We start from the raw sequence: 19,761 nt of genomic DNA, 5'->3' as shown, positions 1-19,761 counted from the left end.
TTGGAGAGAATGCGGGGCAGAGAGCAACGGAGCACAACCTCACAGAAATTGAGGGAGACCTTTCCAGAAAGAGGGTGGGGTTGGGGAGGTTGTTAATGGAGTCCAATACTGGGACAGTCACAGATAAGAAAGGTGGATCAAAGCCATTGGAATGGACAATCATGAAGCCATGAAAAACAGATGGTGGGTTACTCTTGCTCTTTGAATACATTTGAAGGTAAAGAGAGGGGGTCAAAGAGGTAAAAGGACTTTTTCTTGTTGCCTTGTGAGCAACGGAGCACCTGTGCTCACTTCTAGGTAGAGAGAACAAAGCCAAGGGAGAGGGAAGCTTTAAAACAAAAAATCAGAAGGGAGGATGATTGGAGCAAAGTTACAGAGGGGGCCCAGGACAAGAAAGATGAGGGTGTCATCCTCAGAGACAGGAGGAAAAAATGAATGACTGAAGCTTCAAAAGGAGAGACATGGAGAAAGGTCATGTCTATGGCTCGGTGTCTCAGGAGAGTGAGAGGACAACCTGAGGGAATGAGGCTTGGGTGGGGACTTGAGGAGAATGGGAAAGACTTGGGGAGCCAATCTGAGAGATGCCTGAAAATTCATGAATCTTGTCCAAAGGATTGTCCAGCAGCCGTGAGGGTCATCTGCAGGCTCGATAGCCCGTGTCAGTGGCTTCAGTCAGCACAGCCCTGCGACTGTTCTCCTCAGTGTTTGGCAGCTCAAGAGAGAGGCCAGAGAGGGTTGGGGCAGCAAGGACAGTGCTGATGCAGTGGAGGTCAAGGTCAGGAGGGAATGTTAGAGATGTCTGATGGTCATCTGGGAGGGCCAGGGGCCTGCCAGGATGAGGAGGAGGGAGGTGTGGGCGTGGTGGCAGCTGTGTAGGAGGAGGATGTGCTGCCTGCCTGCCTGCCAGTGCCCCCAGATTCATTCCTGTTCTTTCCAGGGCCCCTCTCCTTCCAGCCTTCAGGCAGTGTACACCAATGGGGGGCCCTGAGGGAGCACTGGGGGTGCAGAGGGGGCGAATCGTGGTCATTTCTTGCCTTCTTCCCCCTTCCTGTGGCCTCACTTACAGTGGCTGTGTTTCCTTCTTGGCTGTGGATCCTGCAGGGAAACCCTTTCCTCCATGATCCCAGCTCCCACTAAGCAGCCACTGCCCCATGGCCCTGACGACCAGTCTCTGGTCACGCTACTTCCTCCCCATGTTCCTCCAGTCTCAGCAGTGGTCCTGGGTTACTAAAGATGCTAATCTCTCTATAATCTGTGAAGTGATTCCCTGGTTGAAATATCTAGAGTGGTTTCTGTCTTCCTCAGAGGACTTTAACTGATATACCGGAAAAGAATTAAAAACAAATATATCTCTCTTGATCTGCTCCCATCTCCTTTTTATACCTTTGCCTCCAAACAAGTGGGGAACAATATATAGTTTAAAAGTTATCCAAAGCAGCAAAATAAAGGAATGTGCACGTGTGGATACAAATGTCTTCTGATTGGAGAAAAGATGGGGCATGATGGCCTTGGGGTAACTGGAAGAGCCAGCACAAGCTTCTTTGCCACCTTCCAGAGATGAAAGCGGTGTGAACACAGAGCCAGGTTTGAGTATGCCGTCATCTATGTGGCCCTCTGGCCTCTAAGTAGCTCCTCTACCATAGGTTTGGTACCTGAAATTCCTCTATTCCTGATATATATATATATATTTTCTATTTGAGTCCAGTTACTTTTCAGCTCCAGGAAGTTTCTGTTGAAATAGAATAAGCAATATAAGAAAGCCACTCTATTAGACCAGGATGGGCTGGCTCTCCAGTTGGAGACGCGTTAGGGGATAGAACCATAATAGAGCTTGGGTTTGAATAGACAGAGAGAAATGGGAAGATTTGTAGGGACAAGCCAGGTGGAGGGTGGCCATGAGGACCAATGGACAGAGAGGGCAGGTTTGCTGGGAATAGACAATGAGCACCTCTACCTGGCTGGCACTTTAAGCAATGGAGGGAGAGGAGGTTGGGCAGGTGGGCTGGAACCCGAGGACCTAGACTGCTGGACTAAGGATTTGCACTTGTCCCAGAAGGCAGTGGGAAGCAGAGCTCTGCACAGAGCTAGAGCATGTCAAGTGGCATGTTAAGACAAAGACAAAGCCCTGAGTCCAGTGGCATCATGGAGAATGGATTGAAAGCAAAGGGAAACTAGAGACAGGAAGACTGACGAGGAGGTCATTGCAATAATCCAGACAAATTGTGATGAGGACCTGGACTAGAATAGTGGCAGGAGACCAGGGAAATAAAGGATGTGAGAGATATTAGGGAGGGACTATTCCACAGGATGAGGCTGGTTGGGTAGGAGAGTTCTAGCAGATGGATGAGATTCAAGCAAGGTTGATTTGTTGGAAGTGCTTCCAAAATATGCACTTTATTACTTATTCTCAGATACTTATGACTTCTCCAATGTCATTACCTAACTCACTTACAATCTGGCAACTCATATCCACTTTATTCATCACATGGGAGTCACTCTTATTCTGTGTTTTCACAAATAGATTCGCTTGACCCTTTAAAAAAGTCTTTTATAACGTAACATGTAATTAATTTTTTTAAACCAAGGCTTACAGAATCCCAGAACCCCCAAATCCAGGCTTGATCAAGAATGATTAGAAAAGCCTGGAAGTGGTAATTAAGCATTAACTTAGTTTGCCCCAATGGGGGACAGACTGTACCTCTCCTATGGCCAACTGAGGTCATGTGACAGCTCAAAGCCCAACTGTCTTATCCAGGAATCACTCCAGTGCAGTCCAGGTTGCCCCCGTTATGGAGGAGGGTCATGCCCACCAGAAAATAAGACATCCTGTCACTAGAGAAATGGCTTATTTTGAGTTTAATTTGGCAGTAAATAGAGTCCTTTCTAGAATTTTCCTTTGAGGTTCAATAGATCATTCAAGGCATTTAGATTCTGAGTTAAATAGATCATACTGGGTATATAAATATAAGGATATATTGGGAAATATACAATATAAATGATAATGGAAGACAACCTTAGTTTGATCCAATCCATGCAAGAAATGGAAATTCTATTGCCTTTGATAAAAGGTTTTCTTCTATGAGCTATATAAGATAAGGATGCTATGGTCACATGGTCACTGCTACTTTTGCCTGGAGAATAATTTCCCCACTAGTAACTATGACTGTCCTCAAAAGCAAAAAGAAATTTTGCTTTTGAGGAAATGGCAAGTTTCCTTGAAGCCACCACACTTATTCCCCACAGTAGATGCTGGCCCCACTTCTGTGAAACCCCCTGGAAGACCCTCTTAATTCACTGACCTAGTTCTCAACATCCTGCCTCAACCCACTATTTTCCCCTATCCCTGTACTGCTTCTGAGTGTTCAGGTCATCAACTTCATTCTCTCATTTCTGTCCTTCCTCCCACAGGACTCAATGTACAATATTCCATTCCAGCATTGAATTTGGGGTCAATGGATGACATTCAGATGCTCTACTCTTGCCATGCTTTCTACTTTCATGAGAATTTTGATTTATTCTATGTTAAAATTAACTAAGTTAATTTTAATCAATCCCTACCCTTGATGTAAATGTACACTTCCAGCAAGGTCCTGGTTTGGGGAGTTTGTTCATTTAACAAATGTTTAATGAGCACCTGCTAGTTTCTAGCCCAGTGCTAAATGCTGAGTTACTGAAGTAAAAATTGTGTTCCCTCCAGGAGCTCCCAGGCTGGAGGGGGCAGAAAATTATTACATGCAAGCACAGATGACTTGTAAGAATCTTTGCTGATTTGGATGGAAATTTTCTGCCCTTGGAATTTGGTATCTAATCCCTAAATAAAACACTTTAAAGAATGCCAATTAGAAGGAATAGGCAAGACTAAAATCAGTTGTTGTGTTTGTGGATTAGGGATGATTTATATTCTAATTTAAAATTTCCTTTAATGATAAAATAATATTTAGGCAATCAATTCAAATGTAAATTTTGGATAATGTCACTGTGACTCATAAACTCACTATCCACCTGCCACACTGGTGGAGACATCTGACCAATGAGGTTAGAACAGGTGGCTGCCTCAGAATCCCACATAGGAGCTGTGGACAATGTCTGCCGCCCCTCTGCGGACACTGAACTACATGGTTTTGGGTGTTTTTGCATCTAAAAGTTGCCTTTTGGCCCACCGCACCCCCCTATCCTGTACCCATATAAACCCTAAACCCCTGGCTCCACAAGAGGATGAACAGAAGAACAGAAGAGCAGCAGAATGGCACAGCAGAGAGAAGAGAAGGAGTGTCTAAACACCAAGAGTAGTTCTGCTGGAGGTGGTCAGAGAGGAGATCAGTTGCTGGATGGGCAAACCCCATGGGAAGATCATCTTCCCACTTCATCCCCTTTCTAGCTCCCCATCCATCCTGCTGAGAGCCACCTCCACCACTGAAGTCCCACATTCACCTTCCTCAGGTTCATGTGCAACCTCATTCTTCCTGGATGCTGGACAAGGACCTGGGTATCAAGAGGGCACTGAGCTGTTTAACACTTAAGTCGTCTGTGGACAGCAAGGCTAAAGGAGTGCACTGTAACACATGACCATTTGGGCTTTGGGAGTCTCAAGCTCCCACCCCTGAACACTGCCATGGGGCTGGAGCCCACGGGCACTCACCCTGGCTCCTGCACATGCCCGTCTGCATGCTCCCCCTCCCATAAGAAGTTTGAGCATGGATAGTGGCCAAACATATGAGCCACACCCCTGTCACAGGTCTTTTGGGGTGTGGGAGGGGCGGTGGTCAGGGAAGTCTCCTGTTTCACTTGTCTACCTTGAGCCCAGCAGTGTATTGGTATCACGACAGTTGCAAAGAAAATGAAGTCCCCACCTTCCTGGACTGCCCCAGTGTGAGATTTCAGAAACTGCCACTGCTGTGAGAGTGTGGGTGAAGGTGGAAAAAACTGGCAGAGGATAGCACTAATGGAGGATGTCTATGTGGTATAAAGCCTGTCAGTGTCACCGAGAGGCTCAGGAGATAGATGATCAAGAAACTTCATCATTTTCTAGAACAGTACCAGTCAGAGGAGGAGTCACAATCTGCATGTTTCCCAGACCAGAGCAGTTATCAAATCCCAAGTCTGCTGGTTGCCAGCACCTCCCAGAGGACCCCCTGTCCAGGGAGGCTGCTTGAAAACATTAGCACCAGGCTAGATCCCTGAATAGGCACAGCTTCAGTGAGCAGGGAGTAGGCTAGGCCCAGAGCCTCATTCTTTGCTCGATTCAGGAGCCTTGGGAGGCTGGTGGAGGGGTGAACTGAGGTGCCTGCTGTGTAACCAGGGCTAGGGCTGTCTCTCAGGGAGTTCATAGCAGGACACTCCTTTGCTTACTGTCGAGGTTTGCTCTCTGGTGACTTCCAAATTAGGAATCCAAGCTAGCCTGGAAACCCAGGAATGCAGGAGGAGAAAAAGGCATGTCCCAAAGAGGGGACTGAGCTGATCTTGGCCCACCGCCTGAAAGGAAAGGCCACAAGTTCTCTATCCACCCGGCACTCTGATCACCCCCTCCTCAATGGCACTTTTATTCCGTAAAACTCATTTGGTTGAACTTCTGACAATAGGTATATTTATTTTTATTAAAAGCATTAGGAAAGAACATTTGCAGTTTTATGATTTCTACTTCCATCCATAGTCTGTGATAGAAGATGATGCTCTTTGGCTTGTTACCAATGCCAACAAACAAATAATGTGTTTGACTTTCATTTGGTGCCGGGGACCCAGGCTCAGGCAATACTGGCCAGTGATGATTATTTATGGTAGAATATAAAACGGAACTTTGATTTATGAATCAATTATTTGCTATGTGGTTTTAAAATGTGCTCCTACGTATTTTTACATGGAGGCTCAAAGACAAACAGGTGCTGGTCTCTTGGTTTACACTTTATGGTGATTAGCAGGTCAGGAGGGGTGAGGAGCAGGCAGGCAGGCCAGCACCCAGTGCATCCTGAGGCCAGGTGGGAAAAGAGGCAGCTTTGTGGATCACAGGCCCTGGGGGGAAATATTTCAGCATTCTCAGCTCATCCCTCCCGCCATCCCCCTGTTCTCCTTTGTGTCCTGGGTAAGCGTCTCAGGCCCCAAGCACTGTGGGGGCAGAGTTATTGTTCTCTCTATACTGGTGGGTCCCTGAGAAATGAATAATTGCGCCCCTGAGGTAAGAAGAAGTACAACACTTCCAGGAAACCTCCTTTGTTCCCTGGCCCTACCCCTGGGGGTGACCGCGGCCAGGCTGTTTTCTAGACCATATTTTCTTCCTTGACTGACCTGCTGCACACCCACCAGACTCAGACCTCCACCCCATGTAACAGCTGCGCGGACCAGGATGCAAGACCACAGGCAGAGGCGAGGGGAAGAGCCCCAGAGCATCACCCCCACTACCCACTAATGGTTGGAGGAAACCTTCGAGATCAGCCTGGGGCAATTGTCCAAATTGCCTTTTGGGGCCTTTTGTTAATTATTATTATTATTATTATTATTATTATTTTTATTTATTTATTTATTTTGAGGCAGAGTCTCACTCTGTTGGCCAGGCTGGAATGCAACCTCCACCTTCCAGGTTCAGGGTTCAAATGATTCTCCTGCCTCAGCCTCCTGAGTAGCTGGGATTACAGGTGTGCCCCACCGCACCCAGCTAATTTTTTTATTTTTAGTAGAGATGGGGTTTCGTCACGTTGGTCAGACTGGTCTCGAACTCCTGACCTCAGGTGATCTGCCCGCTTCCGCCTCCCAAAGTGCTGGGATTACGAGCATGAGCCACCGTGCTCAGCCTGTTAATTAATTTTTAATTTATTTTGTCTAACACGTATTTGTTGAGCATTTGTTCAGTGCCAGCCCAATGGTGAAATAACTGACATTGTGCCTTGTGGTTCTTACTGTCTAGCTGGGAACAGAGCTGAGCACCAGGCAGTTGCTCTGCACTGTGGCGAGGGGGCTGATTAGGGGAGCTCTGGGCACTGTCAGAGGGGCGCCTTGCCTTCGCTTGGCTTGGTGGCTGGGGTGGAGGAGGACAGACAGGGAAGAATGAGTGAAAATCGGGCAGGCAGACTGAGTTTGGGAGTGGGGGTGAGGAAAAGATGCTGGTGAGGGTGCTCCCAGCAGAGGGGACAAACCTCAAAGCAGCTGCATACAGACAGGAGGAAGCATGGTGGATTCTGAGAGCTGGCAGAGGCTGGATAAGCCTGGAGCCCTGGGCGCCAGGTGGCAGGCATGGAGAGGTGCCTGAGAGAGAACCAGGGGACTGATCGTGGGGACTTCAAAGCCATGTTGGAGGTTCAGGCTGACAGTCTCATCGCCAGGCCATCACTCTCACTGCCAGGATCGTGGTCAAATGTTCTCTGACCCCCTCCAAGCCTGGCCAGTGCTGTGGGCTAGGACCAGAGGAAGGGAAGACAGAGAACAGGACATCGTGATGGAGGGAAGCAGAGCAGCTTCCCCAAGGGCTCTGTTTTTGTCCTGCTCCCTTGGGTCACCCAGCTTTGGCAAACAGCCCTGTGGGCCAGGGTGGGGAGGCTCTTGCCACTTATTTTTAATTTCCAGGATGCCTTAATAAATGTCATTCTTATCTCAGGAAATGAGTTTGAAATTTTGCAGACACACCATGCCCAGCGTGGCAGAAAAGCTCTCACTGCCTCTGCAAGGGCTGCTCTAAAATCCTCATGACCAAGGTTGCTGCCGGGGTCTCTTGGTAGACTCAGGCTCTCCCTGGCCATGGCACCTTAGCCAAGTCATTGAACCTGGACACTTTTTGTCCAACAGATTTGTTTTCCTGTTTCAGTCTCTGAAGGAGGAATTGCTTTTGCTCCTCCTGGCTCTGTCATCTGCCCTCCCTGGACCTAAGCCCTCTCTTTTCTCTCCTGTGTCTCCTGGCCTCAGACAGGCTGCCCACCATCCCACCCTGACTTCTGGCTGTGTAGCAGGAATGGTGTGCACTGGACATGGCAGGTCAGAGCGGAAATGCCTTGGCAGAGAGGTGGGAGGCAGCTTTCCTGGCCCTCAGCTCTGCTGCACCGGCTTCGGGCCAACATTTCTTTTCCTTCCTTTTACAAACAGTCTGTTCAACCACAAGACTGGACTAGAAGATAACCCATTTACACAGTGAAGATTCGGGTGACAGAGGTGAGAAGCCAGTCTTGGGAGCTCCTGCTACCGTGTGTGGCTTCTGACATGAACCTTGGGAACGCCTTCACTGGTCTGGCCCATGAGCAGCCAACCTAGCAGCTCCAACAATAGGCTTCACTCCTGCCAGGGGAAGCTGGCTGAGCCCTTGGCGGGCAACACCCAGCTGCTTTCACTTCCCTGGCAGGAGCTACAGGAAAGACGAGAGCCCTGGAACCCACAACAGGCCCACTGAGCGTTCATTGACTTCCTAGGGGTTTGCCCTACCCTGGGCTCACGTCTCACATGCTGGCTTAAGCAGGATAAGACACTCTGCAATCCAGTTCTGAACTGTGTATACAAGCTGTAGCGCTCAGAAGAACACTGAGAAAGGGAAGGTGACGTGGGCTGGAAGGTGATGGGTCATGTAGGAGTGCCGAGCCTCTTGGCGACTGTGTGTGGAGAGTTTTAGGTCTGTACCAAAACGCAATTCTTTTGCCTCTTTCGCACCACTAGTTAGCGGGCTCTAAGGCAGGTGGTATTCATGGCATGTTCACTGCCTATCCACCCGGTCACTGAGCAGACACTTATAGGACATTAACTTTATTCCCTTCCCTGGTCAGATGGTGAGGAAGTACAAGGGTGATGGGTAGGGTGCTGTCCCCAAGGAGCTCACAGTGGGGCTCAAGGCTTTGAGGCTTAGGGTCATGGTTGCTTGTTGAGCTGTATCCCAATACAAAGCTCACAGGTAACCAATCTGATGACCAAGGTTAAGCCCACTAAAATGTTCTAATGACCCCTTGCATAGAGAACAAGGACTTACAATAGAACAGGATGACACCAGGTGCATTTTGTTTCGTAATCTGTTGACAGCAAGCTTTATCTGAAATCTTTTCCATTATGAAAGGCTAAGGAAGCCCCATTCATCCCAGTTACCACTGCCTAGGAACCATATCATGTGACACAGGCTAATTAGAGGGCCCGGGTTTGAGTTCTGACTCTTACCTCCTCCTATCCTGGGCAGGTCACTACTGCTCTGTGCCTCAGTTTCACCAAGGAGAAATAAAATATAACAGCAAAAAACACCAAACTAGTAAAAACAAAATTATCTACCATAATAGTAAGGTATTAAGTTCTAGTAGTATCATCATATGGGAGAATCTGGTATAAACTTAATAAAGCTACAGGATAATTCAGTTGTAGTATTCAGTTTCCAGCCACATGAGAAATACCTGAAGAATATTCATTTCTAATTTTCCTCAACCCAGAAGCTGCTCAGTAAATTCCCACAAAACCACCTTAGATCTTAGGTGAGGACCAGCTTAATATTCATTTCTGATTTCCCTCAACCCAGAAGCTGCTCAGTAAATTCCCACAAAACAATCTTAGATCTTAGGTGAGGACCAGCTTTCCTTTCACAAGTGCTATGGGCAGTGCTCCCAGTGAAGCAGCCTCTGAGATGAAGTTTAGCATCCAGGATGTTTTGGGGGGAGGTTTTCTTTTATATTATGTTTTGATCAACACCTGTTGAAGGGAGGGAAAGCAAGCGGGAGTGGCCAGAGGAGGAAGTTGAGCTGCATGCAAACCCACGATGGCCTCAACAGACCACCCAGGCTCAGTCCTGGAGCTCTTCACAATGATCCCACTCTGGGCCGGGATGGCTAGCCCATCATAGCCCTGCACCAATCTAGTGTTTGGTTTTGTTTTTATTATATTTTACCTCCAGCTGGGGAAACTGAGGTGTAGAGCAAGGGTGGCCTGCCCAATGTTGGAAGAAGTAGAACCAGGACTCAAAACCCAGGCCTTGGATATCCTGTGTCACGGGACATGGGGAGTCGGAGATGGTAGATGAGATGAATGGCTAAAAGGGGCTCTGTGTGGCCCAGGACAGTGTCCACACAGTGCAGTAATCCCTCACTTTATCCACTCATTTGTTCAACTCATATTTCATATGCTTAGTTTTCTACAGGCACTGGTAGTTAAAAAATGAGTAAAGTGGCCGGGCGCGGTGGCTCATGCCTGTACTCCCAGCACTTTGGGAGGCAGAGGCGGGCTGATAACGAGATCAGAAGACCGAGACTATCCTGGTTAACATGGTGAAACCCCATCTCTACTAAAAATAGAAAAAATTAGCCAGGCGTGGTGGCAGGCACCTGTAGTCCCAGCTACTCAGGAGGCTGAGGCAGGAGAATGGCGTGAACCCAGGAGGCGGAGCTTGCAGTGAGCCAAGATTGCGCCACTGCACTCCAGCCTGGGCAACAGAGGGAGACTCCTCTCAAAAAAAAAAAAAAAAAAAAGAGTAAAGCACCATTCCTCTCCTCCATGAGCTCATATTTGCCAGGCCTATTTTTCTACAAAGTTTATTTTGAGCATCTACAAAATCAGCAAGTGTGCCTCATCTTTCACTAGGCTCATGACTCTTGTGGGTTTTTGTGAACATGCAGTTTCTCAGTCGGCAGGTCTGGCGTGGGCCTGCGGCTTTGCATCAGAAATGTAATGCTGTGGGTCCTGGCTCACTTTGAGGAGCAAAGATCTGCTCTTCAGAGGCAGGTTTGGGTTTTTTGTTTGTCTGTTTGTTTGCGTTTTAGAGATGGAGGTCTCGCTCTGTCACCCAGGCTGAAGGGCAGTGGCATGATCTCAGATCACTGTAGCCTCGACCTCCTGGGCTCAAGCGATCCTCCTGCCTCAGCCTCCTGAGTGGCTGGGGTCACAGACATGTGCCACCACACCTGGCTAACTTTTTAAAAAAATTTTTGTAGAGACAAGTTCTCACTATGTTGGCCAGGCTGGCCTTGAACTCTTGGGCCTAAGTGATCCTCCCACCTTGGCCTCCCAAAGTGTTGGGATTACAGGCTGGAGCCACTGGACCCCGCCCAAAGGCAGTTTCTACTTGGGTCTCTCTAAGTCAGTCCCACCATGTCCTCTCCCATTGGACATACCTGGAGGATGCTTCTAAAGGGACCAATGCCATGAGAAATGACTTTGCTTACTAAATGGCCTTCTGGATTCAGTGCTTCTGAGAAACCATCTTGGACTAGATGGGGCCTCTTGGGAGCCCAGCCATGGGTGCATAGGGGGCTTTCTGAGCCCTTTCTCTAGATTCCACAAGGGTTCCACATGTCACTGCCTTCACTTCACTGTCACAGAAGTGGCTTTATGGTGCTTTGTCTGTGGAAAGTACTTAGCTCTGGAAAACCACACTTGTTCATGTGAAACCTGACTAATGACAGGAACTGGACATGAGCTGGCCATTGAATTTGCTCAGGATGGTAGGATTTTCACCAGGGAGCATCCCAATGGAATCCATTCGTTTTGCTGGGCCAAAGTCAACAGGAAAATGAGAAAATTTTCCCAAATTAGGGCACAGCCCTTTCCCAATGCTGTTGAGGTGACTGCCCACCACTATGTTTAAATGCAACTTCCTTTTTGTTTTTTCAGTTTGCAGTTACTACTGATACTGCTAAATTATAGTTTGTGTACATGCACGTTTTATTCCACATGTGTAGGTGTCAGACATTTCACTAACCCAACATTTGGTGTATCTGCTGGCACATTGAGACTAAGAACTGGGAGGATACACAGTACAGGGGAATGGTTGACGTTAATTCATAGGTTGCTTTGTTTCTGTCTCAGTAAGGAAACAGGCTGCTATAGTAACACATTTTTGGGGTTTTATCTCATGGGGAAAGCAGAAAATTGCCTGTGTGAATAGCTCCACCCAGTAATTATTCACAGAACTTCAGGTATTGAAACTCACCATTTCTGTGGTTTATATTAATGGCTTCTGTAAAGTTAAAAAAAAATTAAAATACATTTCACTTTCACTCTGCCAAAGCAAGCAAACAGCCACAGGAAGGACCAAACTAAGTAGATAATTTATTTCAGATTCTTTAAATAAGGGAAAAGAACATGCAAGTCAAGGCCCTGGAACCTTCAGGAACAAGATTTACCACATTTAAGTGGTACAAATTTAAAGGCACTGGAAATACAAGAGGGAGAAAACAGAGAGGGGCCTGACCTCGGGTAATGTAACAGGGGCAGCATGGAGATAAGAAACAACTTGACAAGTAAGTTAATTACTAAGCTCACGTCCTGATTAGGACTGCGGAGGAAATAACAGGAAATGTACTAAAGAATAAAACAGGACACCACCTTCTTTGGGTAGGGTGGCCAAGACAGACCTCCCTGAGAAAGTGACATTTAAGCTGTGACCGGTAGGAGGAAAAAGAACAAGAGGGCATGTTCTCTTTCTCTAGCAATGTAGTTAATGTCTACAAAAGGGTAGAATAGATAATTTACTACTTCTCTGGCTAAGCCAACTTCCCACCTACTTCTCGGTGCCAGGGAACTAACATTTAAGGGTTTTGTGCAGGAGCTTTCTTAACCTGCAGTGCTGTGAGATGGGTTGATCTTCAGAATAGGAAGGCAGTTCAGGAGGTTAAAGAATTTGGCCAGGGTTGTACAGAGAGTATAACAGGCAGGCTTGGTTGAGAAATGCGCCACATCAGGAAAAGACAAGCACCGACTGCTTTTATATTTCCAAATAATGAATATCAACAGTTTTGACCAGTGTCTACCTTAGACACACTAGCTGGAGGGGAAAATGTAAAACTGAGTTTTAACAGTATCTCAGGCGCAGTGGCTCACGCCTGTAATCCCAGCACTTTGGGAGGCCGAGGGGGGTGGGTCATTTTAGGTCAGGAGCTGAAGACAAGCCTGGCCAACATGGTGGAACCCCATCTCTAATAAAAATACAAAAATTAGCCAGACGTGGTGGCAGTTGCCTGTAATCCAGCTACTTGGAATGCTGAGGCAGGAGAATTGCTTGAACCCAGGAGGCGGCGATTGCAGTGAGCTAAGATTGCGCCACTGCACTCCAGCCTGGGCAACAGAGCAAGACTCTGTCTCAAAAATTAAATAAATAAATAAAAAATAAAATAAAATAAATAAAAAGGTATCTCAGTGCATCAAATACATTTAGCATGACTCAGTGATTTGTAGTCTTGTCTGATTGTTACAGTGTTGGTCTCATCTCTCTCCATCCTATCTATGTCTTAGGCCTAGCAACACTGATGTTGGTGCCTGGGGCAGGTGATAGAGGAAGGAGTTACCTGTGTGTTTGCCTGTTTGTCAGTGGTGGGCAGATTGTCTTGGCTCAGTCTCCTCTTCTGTTGTTTGACCCACAGAAAATGTGCTACCTCTTGGTTGCATAGGTGGGCTTTCCTCTGGGTTCGTGGATTGGTTCTTTGGCTGGTAGTGGTGAAGGAGGGAACTCACTGAAGCACCTGTCCACCCTCACTGCACATGTGAAGTCCGCCCCTCAGTCCATTTCACCACCGTCTCTTTTCACCATCCTTGATGGATGGGTTTTGGAGTGACCATATCATGATGGCCTAGGTCTCAGCTACTTTCTACACTATTTTCTTGATTGACCTACATGGAGAAAGTTTCTATCTTTGTTCCTCCATTGAGTGGTAAGAAGCCAAGCTGTCTTCCCTGACCCCTCAACCTCCCATTCACCCTTTCTGCTCCACTTTCTCCCATACCCTTGCATCATCAGGCTATCTGTCAGTTCAGTGGTTTAGTGCTCAGCTGAGCCAGGACCTGACTAAGATGGGAGGTTGAGGGAAGTGGTGGTGGTGGTGGGGTGGGGTGGGGCAAGTCAGGAGTCACTGATTGCACAGGAAGGGAACTTTCTATTCTTTTCTCTCATTTCCTTAATAAAGACGAGAGAGAAGTCATCATAAAGGTGCTGTTGGTTCACTCCCTCTTAGAAACTCTGTGGCACGGTGTGGCACCTTCTGTTCTTAGCTATGAGCAATCTTTCCAACCTTGCATTGGGTTGGATTGGTGGAGGGAAGGGGGCTCCCCAATCTGTACCTCACATTCTTATGTTCTAGAAAGTAGGTGGCAAAGCCAGGATTTAAATCCAGGCTATGTGGCCCCAAAGCCCATGACCTTTTCTCTACGTAGCGCCATCTCCGCTATGTACTATATTTTAGAGTGGAGCATGCTTTGAAAAAAAATTAAATTTCCAAGCCAAGAAAAAGAGTACAAGGGAGTGTGGGGATGGGGGTGAGGTGGGTGGATATTTTTTAAGTCTTTGCACAAAATTTAGGTAGAAGAAACCAAAAGGGGTGGGTATGAAGGATGTGAAGTTAAAATATCTAAATTTCTGAAACAAATACTATGAGTTTTGCCTGGGAAACATGTACTAATCACTTCCTCAAGTGAATGAAAGCTTGGCCATATCCTACTTCTACTCATGGTAGATGGCTCCAGTGGGTATATTATTTTCGTATGCCTATGAAGTGTGGGCTTGCAGTAAGAGCAGAGATCTGTACAAGACTGCAGAAGGAGTGAAGCTGCCAGGACTTGAAGCTATGTTGACCTGACTGTATCCAACACACAGAACTCAAACACCACACTGTTCATAAAGCAGAGCCAAGGAGAAGGTTTGGATTCTGAGAGCAGACATAGGGAGGGGCCATGTTAGAAGTGGGGGAAGAAGGAGAAGGGGCTGCCACCAACTAAAGTGAGTGTCCTGTCCTCTTTCCACTCAGAAGATTATCCTTCTCACCCTTGTCATTCAATATCTCCCCATCCAGAACACCCTCTTCCCTATTAACCACATCCAACTGACATACTCAGATTTCCTTACAACTTCTTTTTACAGGCTGTTTAAGCCCTGGGTGACTGCCTCTGACTAAACCAGTCAACTGTTGGGTGTAAGTTGTGTTACGGAGAAAGGGTATCTTGAATCAGCTGTGATTTGAGGTTGGACTCACTCAATCATTTTGTATTTTAAGGCATTCTTTGAGGAAGTTCAGAGGTTCACTCCATCCTATTTGAATTAGATTGGGTCTTCAATTTATGGCCATTTAACTCAACAAGTGAAAAGAGTCATTTCTAAGTATTTCATTTTATAATAAGTGGGAAATGAATTGAAATAAAACAGATAAAACAAATAGCATTTTCCACACTATTCACCATTATCTTTCCCTCTGGCAATCAAAAAGTACCTGGCTAATGGTAGCGTGTAGCCAGGTACTTTTCTATTGCCAAAGGGGAAGATAATCTTATGTGACTCACTCCCTGCCCTCAAAGGCAAGGAAATAAGATTGTATGTCTGCAACACAAGCAAGACCATAAGTGACTTTAAAAATTAAGAGATGTGAGAATTGAACTAATCTTTCCAGAATAATGATGATGATAATGATGAAGACGACTGACACTATTTAGTGTTTGTTATGTGCAGGGCACTGTGTTGTTTTACATACTGAGTAGCATTTACACACGCAAGGTAGGGCACTTGTATTGCAAGCAGATGGAGCAGCAAGAGCACAAGCATGGAGAGGGAAGGCTCAGGGCCCATGTGCAAACAGAGCACTTTGGTTAGAAGGCGGGGTACATGAAGGGCACTGGGGGGGTAACAAAGCAGAATGGGTAGCTAGGGGCATGTTATGGAAGATCTTAATTCTACAGATGATGAGGAGCCACATATAAATTTTGAGTGATTTCTATAATTGCTCCCACCCTCCCTGATAGAATTTATCATTTTTTCTCCTGTGCCAGTTGTATTATGTTAAGTTTTATAGAAACATCTGTATCCTGTAGATGTTTCCAAGTTTTTTTTTTTTTTTTTTTTTTTTCTTGATTACAAGCCTCCTTGAGAGCAAGGCGTGGTGCAGAATAGGCTCTTACATGTTGTTCAAAAGAGTCATCATCGCTGTTACCGTCAATCTGGCTGCAGTGAACAGAATGGACAGAGGGGGAGGCAGCCCAAAGGCCAAGAGATAGGCAATGAGACACAACATAGGAGAGGAAGTGTGGACTGGGATGGGGGTAACATGAATTGAGAGCGGGAAGCCTGTGAGAGACAATTTGGAAGTTAATGTTGGTGAAACAGAGCAACTGTGATTTGATCTATGTTGGCGGGTAAGATGGGGTGGAATTGGGGTCCAGGCATTACGAAGGGCTCCCAGGAGACATATTGCCAGGGTAGGCAGAAAGAGTCCTACTCCAGGGGAAGGCAGAGCTAACTGTGAAGATGTGGGTCTTGCTCAGTTGCTCCTTCTGCCTGGAATTCCCACTCACCCCCACTGTAAGTAATCCAATCATACACAACTTTCAGGAACATCTCAGAACATCTCAGAAGCCTGTGCCTTTTAGATGCCTATCAGAATCTCTATTTCTAGGCATTAGCTCTCCCACCTTCCAACCCATATAGCATTTTAAGCTTCCCATGTGGCATGTTCAGTTTCATGTCACACTTATTTGTTCTCTTACCCCTTCCTAACAGAACATAGGCTCCCTTTGTTCTGTGTTCATACCATTTTATTCATTTGAGTGGAACAACTGCCCTGATTCCAGAGCTTTATTTTCAGATCCAAGGGGAGGGGAAGAAGTCAACAGTGACTCCAAGGTTTTTGCCTGAACTATCAGAAGGATGGAGCTGCCATTAACTAAGATGGGGAAGAGCATGATTGATAAGAAATAGCAGGAGGTCATTTTTGGACAAGATATATTTGAAAAGTCTACTACACAGCCCACTGGAGATGTTGAGTGGACAGTTTGATATATAAATTTGAAACTTAGGAGTGAGATACAAGCTACAGGTATACATTTGGGAGTTGTTAACTTACAAAGGGCCTTTAAACGCTTCAGACTGGATGGGATCATCAGTAAACTGAATAGGGCTAGAAAAGAGAAGACATCCAAGGACTGAACTCTGAGGTACTCCAGAGTTTGGGGAGAAAAGGAATAAATAGCAAATGAGACTGAGAAGTGACTGATGTGAAAGAAGGAAAACAAACAAAATGCAGAGTCCTAAACATAGCAAGATTAAAGGATTTCCAGGGGAAGGGAATCATCTATTACTTCACATTATGCTACTAGGTCAAGTAAGATAATGACCGAGAATTGAATTAGCAATGTGGAGGTCATTGGTGAACTTGAAAGAGTACTTTTGGTGGAATGGTGAGGACAAAGGTTTGATTGGAATGAGTGTAAAAGGGGAATGAAGGAGAGGAATTAGAGGCAAAAACTTTGAGAAATTTTCTGTAACAAGAGAAGTGGGACACTAGATGGGTGGAAAGATAAACTGAGGTTTCTTTCTTTTTTTTTTTTTTTTTTTTTCAGAAAAAAAAAAAATAATAATAGAAATACCAGCATGCTGATAGGAGTAATCCAAGAACAAGAGGAAAATTAGTGCAGGAGAGAGAGAGAGAGAGTGAGAGAGAGAGAGAGAGAGAGAGTGAGAGAGAGAGAGACAGGGAGAGGAGAAAGAGAGAGACAGAGAGAGGAGAAAGAGAGAGGGAGAGGAGAAAGAGAGAGACAGAGAGGAGGACAGAGACAGAGAGAGGAGAAAGAGAGAGACAGAGAGAGGGAGAGAACGGAGAATTACAAGAGTGGTGTCCTTGAACAGGTGAGAGGGAATGGGAGCTGGTGTACAAGTATAAGGAATGGCCCTATAGGCACAGATGGTTCATCCATAGTAATGAGAGGAAAGGTAGAGCACAGTTGTGGCAGGTGAGTAGATATGAAATGGAACATTGTGGAAGTTCTTTTATTTCTGCTTCAAGTTTCAGGAAAGAATGGGAAATACTTGGGTGCCAAAGGAAAAAAGAAAATTCAAACTAGGAAGGCAAGCTTCTGTGTTGATATTTCAGCCAGTGTGGGGAGGCGTCAGGAGTTGGTCAGATACTTTCCTGGCTTGGATTTTAATGGCTATGGAGGGACAGAGACAAGATTGCGTGTCTACAAAAGGTGCTGAGATGGCTACGTAAAGCCTGGACTCTCAAAGGACACCACTGAAAGGTTAGACTAGAAAACATTGTACCTGCTGGGCATGGTGGCTCATGCCTATAATCCCAGCACTTTGGGAGGCCGAGGCGGGCGGATTGCCTGAGGTCAGGAGTTCGAGACTGGTCTGGCCAACATGCTGAAGCACCGTCTGTACTAAAAATACAAAAAAATTATCTGGGCGTGGTGGCATGTGCCTGTAATCCCAGCTACTTGGGAGGCTGAGGGAGGGGAATTCTTTCAACCAGGGAGGTGGAGGTTGCAGTGAGTCAACATCGCACCACTGCACTCCAGCCTGGGTGACAGAGTGAAACTCCATCTCAAAACAAAAACAAAACAAAACAAAACAAAAAAACAGAAAACATTTTGCCAGTGGCCCAGATGATCATAGGGAAACTCATCTGGCTATGAGTGAATAAAAGCATCCTGCAAAATGCAAATCCCAGGCCTAACCTTCTCTCAAATTAGTGGTTCAAATATATGTTACCCCAGGAACCTCAAAACCAGAGCCAGTGATGCCCATGGGACGCCTGTAAAACACATGAAAAATCCATGGATGGATGCTCCCATAGCTGCAGGGGATTCTTGCATGAAAACAAGCCCCACTAAGGATGAACTGATGGTCAAAAATTATAAAACAGAGGAAGTTTAAAAAAATCCAACATGAGTGAAAATAAACAGATCCAGCTAACGGGAGGATTGGAGGTGCAAATACTTGAGATAATAGAACAATTGACTAGAGACTTTAAAATATGTGTATGTAAATAATTAAGGGTATAATCAGAAGCGTAAGAAAGTAACAACAAAATGAAAATAGAATTTCTAGAAGTACAATAAAAAATCAGTTAGTATTAAGAATGCAATGACTCAATAAAATGGTAGAGAAGATAAAGATGAAGAATCAGGAAATTAGAAGATCTATCTAAAGAGTTGTCCAGAATTATCATAGAGATAGAGACTAAAACTAATAAATAGACATTAAAAGCATGGTGGAAAAAATAAGATGGCTAACCTATGCCTAATAAGAGTTTCAGAATATGAAAAGGAAAGGGAATAGGGGAAAGTTAAGATTTAAAAGACGAATGAGGCCAGGCATGGTGGGTCATGCCTGTAATCCCAGCACTTTGGGAGACCAAGGCAGAAGGATTGCTTGAGGCCAAGAGTTTGAGACCAGCCTGGGCAACATAGTGAGAGGAGTTGGAGGCTGCAGGAACTATGATGGCACCACTTCACTCCAGCCTGGGCAATTGAGTGAGATCCTGTCTCTGAAAAACAAACAAACCCTAATGACTGGGAATTTCCATAATTGATGACATAAGCCCTGAGACAAGAAGCACAAGTCCCAAAGAGGAAAAATAAAGTTAAATTCACAGCTAGATGCTTTGGAGTGGAAATGCAGACCACTAATAAGAAGAGAATAACTTAAAAGCCATCCAAGATGACAGACAATTTATCTAAAAAAGGAATATTTAGACTTATCATAGACTTCTTAACAGCCACCATACAGACCAGATGACAATGGACAAATACATCAATATGCTGAGCAAAAAATAAAAATCATATTAGAAATACTAGAAAAAATCATACTAGAAATATACAGCCAATTAAATTATTCAGGAGTGAGGGTAAAATATAGACATTTCAGGGAAAAACTGAGAGACATTAAATAGAGTATTGTTGAAAGACCTACTAAAGGATATACTCCAGAAAAAAAGGTGTGGAATAAAAGAAGCAATGGTGTGTTTTCTGTATATTTCTGTTATGTTTCAAAAGTAAAATAAAAAATTAAAATCCCCTACTTACATATTTCTATCTATCTAAAGAAGCATGGCTTCCAAATGTTGCCTA

The 19,761-nt window shown here is 45.5% G+C and overlaps 1 long non-coding RNA gene across 1 annotated transcript in view, besides 1 other annotated feature; it reads left to right on the top strand.

Moving 5' to 3' along the window:
- PIRAT1 (PU.1 (SPI1) induced regulator of S100A8 and S100A9 alarmin transcription 1) overlaps positions 1-19,761 on the top strand; it is a 49,617-nt gene that overhangs the window by 12,025 nt on the left and 17,831 nt on the right. The window lies entirely within an intron of this gene.
- Positions 10,106-10,155: a silencer, noted in NCBI's record as "silent region_11365". NCBI's record gives its function as "represses an Ori minimal core promoter by ATAC-STARR-seq in GM12878 lymphoblastoid cells {active_cell/tissue: GM12878}" and the evidence as "EXISTENCE:reporter gene assay evidence [ECO:0000049][PMID:35858748]".

The sequence above is a fragment of the Homo sapiens genome, chromosome 2, assembly GCF_000001405.40.
Source record: "Homo sapiens chromosome 2, GRCh38.p14 Primary Assembly".
Classification (NCBI taxonomy): domain Eukaryota; kingdom Metazoa; phylum Chordata; class Mammalia; order Primates; family Hominidae; genus Homo; species Homo sapiens.
This window is presented reverse-complemented; position numbering and strand designations above follow the sequence as displayed.